The following is a 12,583-nucleotide window of genomic DNA, read 5'->3' on the forward strand; positions in this document are numbered from 1 at the left end:
TTAATAATTGCAAGCTTGGAAGTGTTGTGAAGCCAACACAAGCTATTTGGGAGCTGAGGGGCTGTGGACCCTCTTTCTGGTGACCAGTAATTGAGACCCAAACCAGGACTCTTTTGAGAGTGAAAAGGTGTGTTACTGACGAGGATGCCAGTGGGCTTCTAGCTGGTACTTAAATACTTTACTGAGATCAGGAACTTCATTTGTCTTTGAATATCTCTGAGCATTTCCTGAAATTAGCATCTTTGCCTTTGTGTGACTTCTCCCCCTTGGGATCCCCAGGCAGGGAAAGCCTCATCCCTCTTCCCAAGAGGACAGCTGAGCTATTTGGGAACAGCTCTCCCATCTCCTGCGTCTTTTCTTCTTCAGGCTAAACATCTCTAGGTCCTTCAGCAGTCCCTTATTTGGGGTAGTTTTCTGGCCTTTCATTGGCCTGGTTGCTCCTCTGCATGAGCTGCGTTTGGTCTGTGTTTTACAGAGTCTGGCCAGAGCTCGGTGCAGCTTCCTCCAGCCTCTAGTTCTCGTGTCTTTCAGCCTGACCTGACACAGCCGCTTCTTAGACTCAGGGAGCAGACGCTCAGCCCCCTCATTTCCTTGAGCTTCTTTTCACATACTTTCTTGGGCACAGCAGATGGGATTGGTGCTCATCAATGACAAGACCAGAATTAGGGGGAGGAACAAGGGCAGCAGTATGGGGGCTTTATTCACATCTGAGTTGCTCAAGGGCTTTATGAAATGAATATGATTCAATACCTGTGTCTCTTTTGCTATGTCAAGAGCTTCATTTCCAGGATCAGGCTACTTGGATACAAATCCTGTCTTGTCCTACTTAAACAATGTTTAAATTTGAGCAAGTTACTTCATTCCTTTGTGCCTCAGTTTCCTCCTTTGGGAGATGTAAAATCGTACAGGATCAAATTAAAAGTACTGAGAACAGCATTTGGCAACATGGTACATCTCAACCCATGCTGTAAATATTATCGTTATTATTCTCCCTGCCCTCCTTTTCTCTTGGTGCTGTTGGTTACTCTTGGGGAGATTTTCCAGAGCAGCAAAAACTGCACCTTGCATGAGTGCTTCAAGCTGAAAAGTCACCTTCTGCCCTCTAGATTGCAGGTGTCTCTGGGGGAGGAGAACAACACCTAAAGCCTGTCATTAATGCCTTTCAGGCTCCTGAGGCCTTTCATCCTGAAAGATTCCAAGGCCCTCGAATAAAAGAAGCAAAAACATTCATTAAAACATTAACAATTGCATGGCAGGTACAACAAGTCATCCCGATGATACAGCCCATTATGAAACATGCTCGTTATCTGGAGCATTCAAGCAGTTTTAAGAGGTTTTGCTTATTCCAAGTAATCTTTGAATTTCAGTGACCAGTTGAACCCAGAATCTCCTTTCCATTCCTTCTTCCCCTCTCCCTTGGCAAACCAGAGACAAAGGCTTGGTCTGAAGGTCCCCTCCAGCTCTGTTTTCTCAGATGGGGCAAAGTGGAAAGCACAAGACAAAAGAGGGAGAGGGCAGTCATACTGGATCCCCACAAAATAACATCACCAACAGCAGAGAGAAATGGGCCTTTCATCTGAAGATCTCAGATCTATTTATACTCAACATATCTGGTATCTGCTGTTAGGCATAGCTGTGCTTAATTTCTGACTTGACCCAGGTTAGAGTGTCACTTCTTAGGTGTAAACAGCAGCAACAGTAATGTGTTGGCTTGTGAAAAGATCAGTCCATTGTTTCTCATTTTTAATCAACTCTGGAACATTCGTCAGTCAAGGATGTGCAAAAGATCTGCTCCAGCCTCAGTTCTGGGCTGCGTGGTTGGGCCAGCTGATTGCACTGTAGTGACCACATAGTGGGTCATTTGGAGGTTGGCACATGCACAGCTGTGAATTGTCCAAGGCTGACTCAGTCTAATTCACTAGCACTCAGTTGCATTGCAAATCCCTCATTTTTAGTGAAAGAAAGTGATGGCAAAATTTTATTTCCTGATCACCCATGTGAACAGTCTCAATAGGGTGTGCCATCTGCTAGAGATAACCTGAACCTATCAATCTGAAGGATTAGGGTTCATTGATGAGGGCAGATCTGCTCACCACACGGGCTTTTAAAGACATACATTCCTGGGCTGGGTGTGGTGGCTCATGCCTGTAATCCCAGCACTTTGGGAGGCCGAGGTGGGTGGATCACTTGAGGTCAGGAGTTCAAGACCAGCCTGGCCACTGTGGCAAAATGCTGTCTCTACTAAAAACAAAAAAATTAGCCGGGCATGGTGGTGGGCACCTGTAATCCCAGCTACTCAGGAGGCTAAGGTAGAAGAATTGCTTGAACCCGGAAGGCAGAGGTTACAGTGAGCCGAGATTGTGGCACTGTACTCCAGCCTGGGCAACTGAGTGAGACTTCATCTCAAAAAAAAAAAAATACATATATATATGTCTATATATATGTATGTCCATATAATCATGTTTATACACACACACACACACACACACACGTATATATGATTTCCATTTCCAGTGGCAACAGATGCCACTAGATTTTCCTCTTGCCTGCTGCCCTTGTCCTCTGCACCGATGGGTGTTCCTTTTGTCCTCTGCTCAATGCATGGCTGGCAGGCATGGAGGTGGCACTCAATGAAACTGGCTGTTGCCTCTCACTGTCACCACTCTCTTGGGTTTGGTGGCACATTCTTATCCCGCATTTCTAGTTTCTTAAGGGAGATGTAAAGAGAGAAGTGAATTAACATTCAGTGGATGCTTATAATGAATCAGACGCGTTACATACATGAGTTCAATTAATTTTGCAGGTCGTAATGTGACCTGAGAGATGTGGCGTTTTTGAAAATCCAAGTTAAGGAACACAGTGGGTAATACACATATTAATATACATTTAGACCAGAACACAGGAGATAAGAGGGCAGGGAGATTCCCTGTAAGGCCTCCTCTATTCTTTCTGCTCACAGGGGATGAAAGCGCTGAAATGCTGTCAGATTCTAGCATTGGTATACTTCCACATTTGGGTACTTTTTGGGGTTACAAATTCTTGTTTGCAGGTTCCTGAAATGATAGATTTATTTACATTCTGGACTATCATACCATTGGCAGTGGCATTTTGGATCTGTGTTAGTGTCTCTGTAGAAACACTTTAGTATCTTTAGCCTAACTCATTGGGAGAACATTCTCAGCTCTTAGTTAGCCACATGTCTGAGGATCATAGCTGTTAGACCATGAGGCCATAACCAAGGCATCTCTCTCACCTTGCAGGACAAACATCTTGGAGGAGGAAGTAAACTGCTTGTATTACCGCCAATCTGTAAAAATGCAGGCAATGGCATAATAACCATTTGTAATGTCAGCTGATTTTGGTTCCTATTGCTTTAGTTTTGCTTTTGCTCACAAGAATTATTTCTTGCTGATCATAATAGCTTAGACCTTAATTCCATTAACATGTTTTTGGAATAGATGACATGCTTGGTGGCTCAGGGATCCTAGGAACGGGGCAAAGATGTGGCTTCTGAGGTTTGACCCTGACTGTGTTCTGTAGGTGGGCAAATGGCCTGTTCCACATGACGAGTTGCTGGAAAGAACTAATATGAATTATTGCAGTTGACTTTGCATACATAAATACTTAAGTTGTGCTTAATAATACACTCGATGCAAATATCCTGCAAACACATTTACTGCTAAACCAGCTTCAGATAAGTTCAATGGGTTTGCCATCCCACAAACAGTTTTTACCAGCCTGCCCTCTCTCCAGGATATAAAGCCTGTATCATAGAGACAGTAAAACTGAGTAAAAATGATTAACATTCTTTCCTATTGACTTTTCTTAAGCTTCCCCTGGAAATAAGTATGTAGAATGGTGATGTGTGAGACTCAATCCATACACAAGTGTTTACTGCCATCTCGTGTGTTCCCACCATAAAGCTAAGCATAGATGCTTGATCCAGAAGAGGTGAAAGATATGATCCCTGCCTCCCTCGTGCATGAATAATCAAGTCCGAGAGCTAAAAATAACACTCAAGAAGCAAGCATAAAATTTTTTGACAATATGTATAAGTGATGTGACTAACCTCTGTCCTGGAGTATTTGAAAAGGTCACCATGAAGACAAAGGGATGAGCAGGGCCTTGAAGAAGGTTTGGATTATTAATAATAATTACTTATAATGGAGTACATTAGCATTTACAGTGAGCTCTTTTTATAATCCCTCTGAGAAAGGTGACAGAAGGAGGGAAGACAATTTGTTGAGTAACTGTGCAAAGTGGACCAGATGACAACTGCTCAGGAAATAGGGTTCATTCTAAGAACTTACAGAACCCAACTCTTGTTTTCTTTTGCCCTTCCTTCCTTCCTTTCTTTTTTTTTCTTTCTTTCTTTTTCTTTCTTTCTTTCTTTCTTTCTCTTTCTTTCTTTCTTTCTTTCTTTCTTTCTTTCTTTCTTTCTTTCTTTCTCTTTCTTTCTTTTTCTTTCTTTTTTCTTTCTTTTCTTTCTTTCTTTCTTTTCTCTTTCTCTTTCTTTCTTTCTTTCTTTTCTCTCTCTCTCTTTCTTTTTTTTTTTTTGAGATGGGGTCTTGCTCCATTGCCCAGGCTGGAGTGCAGTGGTGTGATCTCAGCAGCCTCGACCTCCCAGGCTCAAGCAATCCTCCCACCTCAGCCTCCTGAGTAGCAAAGACTACAGGTTTGACCCCTATGCCTGTAACTTTCTTATTTTTATTATTGTAGAGATGGGGTTTTGCTATGTTGCCTAGGCTGGTCTGTAACTCCTGACCTCAAGTGATCCTCTTGCCTTGGCCTCCCAAAATGCTAGGATTATAGGTGTTAGCCACCATGCCTGGCTTCCCAACTCTTTTATAATGGACAGTAAGTCTGCTTGACTTCTGTTCCAAAGGAAAATTCTACTCTGTCTTACAAGGCTGCTTACTATACAAACATCCTTGAAAAAGTAATCTGGAACAAAAGATAGTCCGTGCCTTTCTCACAAAACATGGAAAAATGTGAGAGACCCATGGAGAATTCCCTCCTAACAACTTGCTCAATGTTCCCAAGCTAGCAGCAAGCATCTGGGTTAGGATTAGAAACCAAGCAGGCCGAGGAAAATTTAATGACCTCACTGACTCCCTGTCCAAGATCATCAGACTCCAATCTATCCCAATTTCTGGGACCACCTCTCTTCCTGTTTGGGCAATTTTGGCATTTGAGCAACACGGCCTTTATGTTGCTAGCCTGGCTCGTGTGGGGTAGCCCCGTGTCAGTGATTATGTTCCTTCTTTGTCCCTTGGGGCCACGCCCTGATCCTGGACTCCACTTTTGCGGTGTTTCTTTCCTAGTTCCTCAGGATGAAGTGCCTGCCTTGTCCTTGACCTAGTCCCACAATCCCAAGAATTCAGCTGCCATGTTCCAGGACACTCTTGGCCAGCATGATGCCTGGATCATTGTGTCTTCTATCCCAGATGTGCTGCTGTATGTGGGCCACTTGTCACGCTTGCAGGAGCTCCTCCATGTTGACCTACCCACCGAGACCTTTATCCTGTCACTTCCTCTGCTGACCTGAGACTGCTCCACAGGTTCTGTTGGATTTCAAGTATCTTCTTCTATAACATCTACTCCCATGTGCTTGTCTCACCCTGTACCATGTATTTTGTTGCTGGATCATTGTCTTGATGCACTCAGGCAGCAATAAAAGAATACCATAGCCTGGGTGGCTTATAAACAGCAGAAATTTATTTCTCACAGTTCTGGAGGATGGGAAGTCCAAGATCAAGGAGCTAGAAGATTTTGTGTCTGGGGAGAGCTTACTTTCTGGTTCAAAGACAGCTGTCTTCTCACTGTGTCACCACATGGTGGAAGGAGTGAGGGAGCTCTCTTTTTTTTTTTTTTTGTAAGGGCACTAATCCCATTCAAGACCTAATCACCTATTAAAGGCCTGACCTGCTACTGCCATCATATTGGGGGTTAGGATTTCAGCATATTGATTTTAGAGGGACACAAACATTCAGTTTCCAGCAGTCATTTGTCCAGTTGTTTACGTGGTTTCATTGCAATGAGGGGAGGGAGGTGGTGATGGGTGCTTCAAGGGTGGACAGCAAAGCAAAGTGCTGCAGAGAAATGAGTGTATTGGGCCAACCAGGAAGCCAGTCTGATCTGACCCAGGGTAAAGAATGGGAGAATAGAGACTTCCAATGCTAGGGTGAAGAATGCAAATAGAACTCAGTGACTGAATCATTGAACATCACAAGAGACTTCATGGTGGTGTGGACTGGTGGATAGAGTGTGGCTTGGGCATCGGGTAGAGATGGGTTTGAATCCTGGATCTGCTACCTATGAGGTGTGACCTTGGAACTTTTACTCTATGTCTCAGAGTTTCTCATCTAGAAAACTGTGGTAATGATACCTACCCCATGGGGCTGTTATGAAGATTGTCCATAAAACAGATACATCTAGCATGGTGACTTCGAATTATAAATGCTCGATAAATGGTAGCTGTTATAGATTGATCCTGATGGAATGCTAGCCCTGGAAGGACCCTTACGGCATATTTAATCTAACCTGTTTATTTTAGACATGAGAAGAAATGAAGCTCAGAGCAGTCAGCTAAGTGACCTGTTTGCTCAACCTTGCCAGGGGTGACAGAAACTTACTCATTGAACACTGATTACTTATCAAGGGCTTGATCGTGTGCAGTCAGACATTTATTGGTTGCTGACTCGCTGCCAGCAGACAGACAGCAGCATCCTCTGGAGACACAGGTGATGTGTTTGGTTATGGCTTACCCTGTAGTGGGGGCACTGTCCTCTCTTAGCTATGGACTATCTGGATGTAAACCAGTGAAGTCCTCTGTGATGTAGCCAGCCTACCAGCCCTTCAGCCTCACCGCCTTCCTTCAGTTCCTCAAAACTGCTCTACTCTTTGCTGCCACTTAGGGCCACTTCACTCAGCCAATTCCCAGTCATTTTTTAAGGTCTCAGCGTAAGTGCTGTTTTTCCAGAAAAGCCTTCCCAAATGCCAGCAGTGAGGTGAGGTTGCCTGTCATCTGCCCCCTTAATGCCTGGGTCTCCTCCTTCACTGCGCCTCTCCTGACATCATCAGTACCCACCTTTTCCACTAGGGAATCTCTGTAAGAGTGGAAATTGGTTGGTGTTGTTCACTGGGACACCCCCAGGGCCTGGCAGAGAGTAGATGCTTAGTGAATGTTGGTTAAATGACTGATTAAGGTTTGCTAACTGCAAACCTTAATTCGTTGTTCCAGAATTTTGGAGTTGCTGCTTGGGATGTAAAAAATACACTAAAAATGGAGTAGTTCTTAGAGTATTTCTTCCCAAAAAAGGCAATGAGGAAGGTTATACTGATAGGTACATATTTATGTAATATGTATTCTACCTACCGGCACAGAAACAGGCATTGCATTGCCCTTATGCTTCTCAGTTTATCTTGCAGTGACACTTCATCATGGACCACTTGGTCCAAGGACTGGTATTTGGAAACTGCTCTCCTAAAAGTCACAGCCATTAATTAGCTGTAGCAATTGCCATTGCTCTACATTACTAAGGAAAGCAAATTTCTGAGTCCCAAAGGTTTCCATGACAAATCTACCAAATATACAACCTTCTTTTATATCTTCATGGCTCAATTTTTACCCTAGCTCTACTTTTTATTTTTTAAATGAAAATCTTACCTTGTCATGGTGGCTTATTTAGTTCCCAGGTCAGTTCACACTGTCCAGTGTACAGTGGTGCAGGTTGCACCCTGCCAAGTGTCCCCAGCTGAGGGAAGAGTGAGCTCCGTCTCCAAACTGTGTACCCAAGTGGGGTCTGGGTCTGTTAGGGAGACAAGGCCACATGTTTCTAGTTCACACAAAGGAGAAAGGGCAGGAGGTGATGGCCGTCCAAAGAGTCAATAGAGTGGATTAATTTGGAGCATGTGGGCTTTGCAGGAAGATGTGCATAGGTTTAGATCTTTGCCCCCACCACTGTCCGTGTGACTTTTGGCAAGTTTGTAAGCCTCAGTTTTCTTATCTGTAAAACAAGAATAAAAGCAACAGCAACAACAAGATCTGTTTTATATGGTTGTTGGAAGGATTAAATGAGCTCATGCAGCAGAAGGCTCAGCAGAGTGGCAGGGCTTCATAAATGCTGCCTGTGTTGATCATTGATGGTTCCAGGAAGCCCTGGAATGTCTTATGGACAGAGAACTCACCCGCTGTTTCCTGTTTCCTCCTCCTCACCTTATTGCCCTGTCCGAACAGGTGACTCCCTTCATGTCCCCACCATCTCATTTACTAAAACCAGAAACCAAGACATCACCCTAGACAGCTCTCTCTCCTCCTCCCTCACTTCAACATCTAAGCAGTCTCTAAAGTCTATGAGTTCTACCAGCTCACCCTCCTTCCCCCGACCTTAGCCCAGCTACTTGGTCCAGAGCAGCCTCATTCCTATTTTGGACAATGGCAGCACCCTCAGACTGGCCCCTGCCCCAGTTGTTCAGAAATGCAAATCTGAGCTGATTGCTTCCTTGCTTAAGACTATCCACTGGTGCCCTCTTTATCTACAGGATAAAGCCTGCATTTCTTTGGGATTAATCATGGTTTTGAAAGACCTAGCCTGTCTCCTTACTGCTGCTATCACAATCCCTGTGTCCATCAACAGGGCATTCTCGGTGCACTTTCAACAGCTTCATGGCATTTCCTGTCTCTGTGCCTTTGACATGTTGTTCTGCTTTCTAGGAATGCTGTTGATGATGACGATGAAGAGGAAGAGGCTGAGAGTAACAGTAACAGCTGCCATGCATTGGCGATTTACAACAATAACCGTTTTCTGTGCTCAGTGCTTTGCATTCATAATCTGTCTTTCCCCAACCTTGGTTACCTGGTGAACTCCTCAAATAGAATTATGATTTTTCTTTTTTGAGATGGAATCTTGCTCTGTCACCCAGGCTGGAGTGCAGTGGTGCGATCTTGGCTCACTGCAACCTCCGCCTCCCAGGTTCAAGCAATTCTCCTGCCTCAGCCTCCTGAGGCGTGTGCCACCCCACCCAGCTAATTTTTGTAATTTTAGTAGAGATGGGGTTTCACCATATTGTTCAGGCTGGTCTTGGACTCCTGACCTCATCATCAGCCCGCCTCGGCCTCCCAAAGTGCTGGTATTACAGGTGTGAGCCACTGCGCCTGGCCATAGAATTATGATCTTTAGAAATATATCGTTGTGTTGGTTTATGGGAGTGCTTCACCTGGAATACAGAGGGCTTGACTTTACTGGGCCCTTATTTGAGCCCACGTTGTCATGTGTGGTAGTCAGTGATGCCCTCCTACTCATTTTAAAAAATAGACTTTGGTTTTTAGAGCAGTTTTAGGTTCACAGCAAAATTGAGCAGAAAGCACAGAGTTCCAATATATCCTCTGAGCCCTTGCCCCAGCCTCATTATCAGCATCCCAAGCCAGAGTGATACATTTGTTATGACTGATACATTAACACATGAGTATCACCCCAAGTCCCTAGTTTACATTAGGGCTCCCTCTTGGTGTAGTACATTCTATGGGTTTAGGCACACGTGTAATGACATGTATCCACTATTATAGTGAGACGGAGTACTTTCCCTGTGCTACAAATCCTCTGTGCTTCATCTCTTCATCCCTCCCTCAAACCCCTGGCAACCACTGATCTTTTTATTATCTCCATAGTTTTGCCTTTTCTGAAATGTCATGTAGTTGCAATCATATAGTACATAGCCTTTTCAGAGCAGCCTCTTTCACTTAGTAACATGCATTTATGTTTCCTCCATGTATTTTCATGGCTTAATAGCTCACTGTTGTTTAGTCCTGAATAATATTCCATTGTCTGAATGCAAAACAGTTTTTGAAGGACAAAACTGAAGGACATTTTGGTTGCTTCCAAGTTTTCGCAATTATGAATAAAACTGCCATAACATCTGTGTGCAGGTTTTGGCATGGGCATAAGTTTTCAACTCATTTGGTTGAAACCAACCAAGGAACATGGTTGCTGAGTCATTTGATAGGAGCATGTTTTGTTTTTTGAGAAACCGTTGAACTGCCTTTCAAAGTGGTTGTACTGTTTTGCATTTCCACCAGCCATGAATGAGAGTTTCTTTAGCTCCACATTCTTGTCAGCACTCGATGTCATCACTGTTCTGGATTTTGACAATTCTATTAAATAATAAGTGCATGGTAGTATCTTATTTTAATTTGCAATTCTCTAGTGACATATGATGTTGAGCACCTTGTCATATGCTTATTTGCCATCTGTCTATCTTCTTTGGTGAGGTGTCTGTTTAAATCTTTTCTCCATCTTAAAATCAAATTGTTTTCATAATTGTTGAGTTTGAAGAGTTGTATATATACATATATATATATATATATATATGTATATGTATATACACTCTGTCACCCAGGCTGGAGTGCAATGGCACAATCTCTGCTCACTGCAACCTCTGCCTCCTGGGTTCAAGTGATTCTCCTGCCTCAGACTCTCTAGTAGCTGGGATTGTAGGCACCTGCCACCATGCCCAGCTAATTTTTGTATTTTTAGTGGAGATGAGGGTTCACCTTGTTGGCCAGGCTGGTCTTGAACTCTTGACCTCAGGTGATCCACCTGCCTCGGCCTCCCAAAGTGCTGGGATTACACGCATGAACCACCACGCCCGGCCTGCATTTTGGATGACAGTCCTTTATAAGATATGTCTTTTGCAAACATTTTCTTTCAGTCTGTGGCTTGTTTTCTCATTCTCTTGAGCTCCTACTCATTTTTCTTTCTTTCTTTTTTTAATTTATTTTTTTCTACTCCCCAGATTGGAAGAGCTCCTACTCGTTTTTAAAGCACAGCTTGGGACTCAACTTCTGTGATACTGGAACGGTCTCTTTCTGTCTCCAGAAGTTGATCACTATTGACTCTGTGCCATTACTGTGCCTTTTACAAATATCCATCATATTGTAAATATTTACCCATCAGACTGTAACATTCTCGGGAAGAGGGAGGGACATGCCACTCATTTTTGCATTTCCAGAGCAAAGCATAGTATCTGGCACTAGCTAATGTGTGTCGTAGTATATGTGTGTCGAGTGAGCTAAAGGTGTACAATGAGGACCCAAGTGAGCAGGGCACCCCTGCTTCCCTGAAAAGCACTGGGTGAGTTTTCCTTCAGCAGAAGTAGTGAGAAATGTGCTCTGTCTTCTGGTCTTGTTTCCATTACATCCTTACCTGGACACAGCCTTTTTTTTTTTTTTATGGAGTCTTGCTCTGTCACCCAGGCTGGAGTGCAGTGGTGCGATCTTGGCTCACTGCAACCTCTGCCTCCCAGGTTCAAGCGATTCTCCTGCCTCAGCCTCCTGAGTAGCTGGGATTACAGGCATGCGCCACCACGCCTGGCTAATTTTTGTATTTTTAGTAGAGACTGGGTTTTACCATGTTGGTCAGGCTGATCTCTAACTGCTGACCTCAGGTGATCCACCCACCTTGGCCTCCCAAAGTGCTGGGATTACAGGCGTGAGCCACCACGCCCGGCCTGGACACAGGTATTTTTAATAGATCCCAGATGTAAGCCATCCCTCCCCACCAGAAAAGGGGTGGGTGATTAGAGGCCGAATTCCTCCCCAGTCAGGGCAAATACATTTATAAATTGCTCTGGGGGTCTTCGTGGGCAAGAAGCGTGTCTGTCGCCTGCATATAATTTTCTAGAGTGTGTCCCGACTCAGCTCTTCCCACTCCTTTTTCCATTTCTGCTTATCATTTAGCTAGAATCTTCACTGTGAAGGAACAATTACCATTCTGTCTGCCTCCACAAAGTCTCATCTCCTGAATGGAGCTGTAAGAGCGTGTGCATGTGCGTGCTCAGGTGGTGAAATACCTTCTGAATTCTTCCACGGGTCAGAATCTTGCAAACTTAAGTCAAAACCCTTTCCTTGCTCTCTTCTCCTCCCTCTACTGCGACCTTCCTTCTGTTTTTTTCTTACTTCTCATCTCTGCCTCCCTCTTTCCTTTGGCTTGCAGTGTTTTTGTAAAATTCTCCCCTTCTTGACCCCATATAATCCCTGGCATGTAGCTCAGAATGCATTCCATTATATCTAAGAACACTTTTCTCTCAATGGGGCTTCTATTAAGACCAGACCTTGCATCCAGAGTTGGTTTAAGCCCTAAGGGGATGAAGTTGGGAGAAGAAAGAATTTTCACATGATTTATAGGCTTGTGACCATTTGACTTATAGACATGACTGCTGAGACATTCAAATGAAAAGTAAAGAAAAATCCAGTAAAAGATCAGCAGATGTTTTGTCTGCAAGGCTTGAGACTTTCAAAGTTAGGCAGGAAAAATGTGGATTCTTGACTGAACTTTGCAATTTTCACAGGGTGTTTTAGGGATATTTAGGTAATAGTCATTATTAGCATCTCGAGTCAGTTTAGATAATTAAAAAAGTTAGCAAACTATTGCAAGATTGCTGTAAAAAGTCCAAATAATATAGAAATCTACAGAGCAGAAGCTTAAATGTCCCTTCTGCCTTCCTTCCTCTCCCTCCATTTCACTCTTTTCTGAGACAAATTCAAGGATTGAATATGTGCGCTTTGGGACATTTTCTTTTCCTG

General features: G+C 43.7%; 1 annotated feature.

The window, feature by feature from the left end:
• Positions 8,112-8,613: an enhancer, noted in NCBI's record as "H3K4me1 hESC enhancer chr12:13277735-13278236 (GRCh37/hg19 assembly coordinates)". NCBI's record gives its function as "activates a minimal SCP1, AML or CMV promoter by ChIP-STARR-seq in naive H9 embryonic stem cells {active_cell/tissue: H9 hESC(naive)}" and the evidence as "EXISTENCE:reporter gene assay evidence [ECO:0000049][PMID:30033119]".

Source organism: Homo sapiens, chromosome 12 (genome assembly GCF_000001405.40).
Source record: "Homo sapiens chromosome 12, GRCh38.p14 Primary Assembly".
NCBI classification, from domain to species: domain Eukaryota; kingdom Metazoa; phylum Chordata; class Mammalia; order Primates; family Hominidae; genus Homo; species Homo sapiens.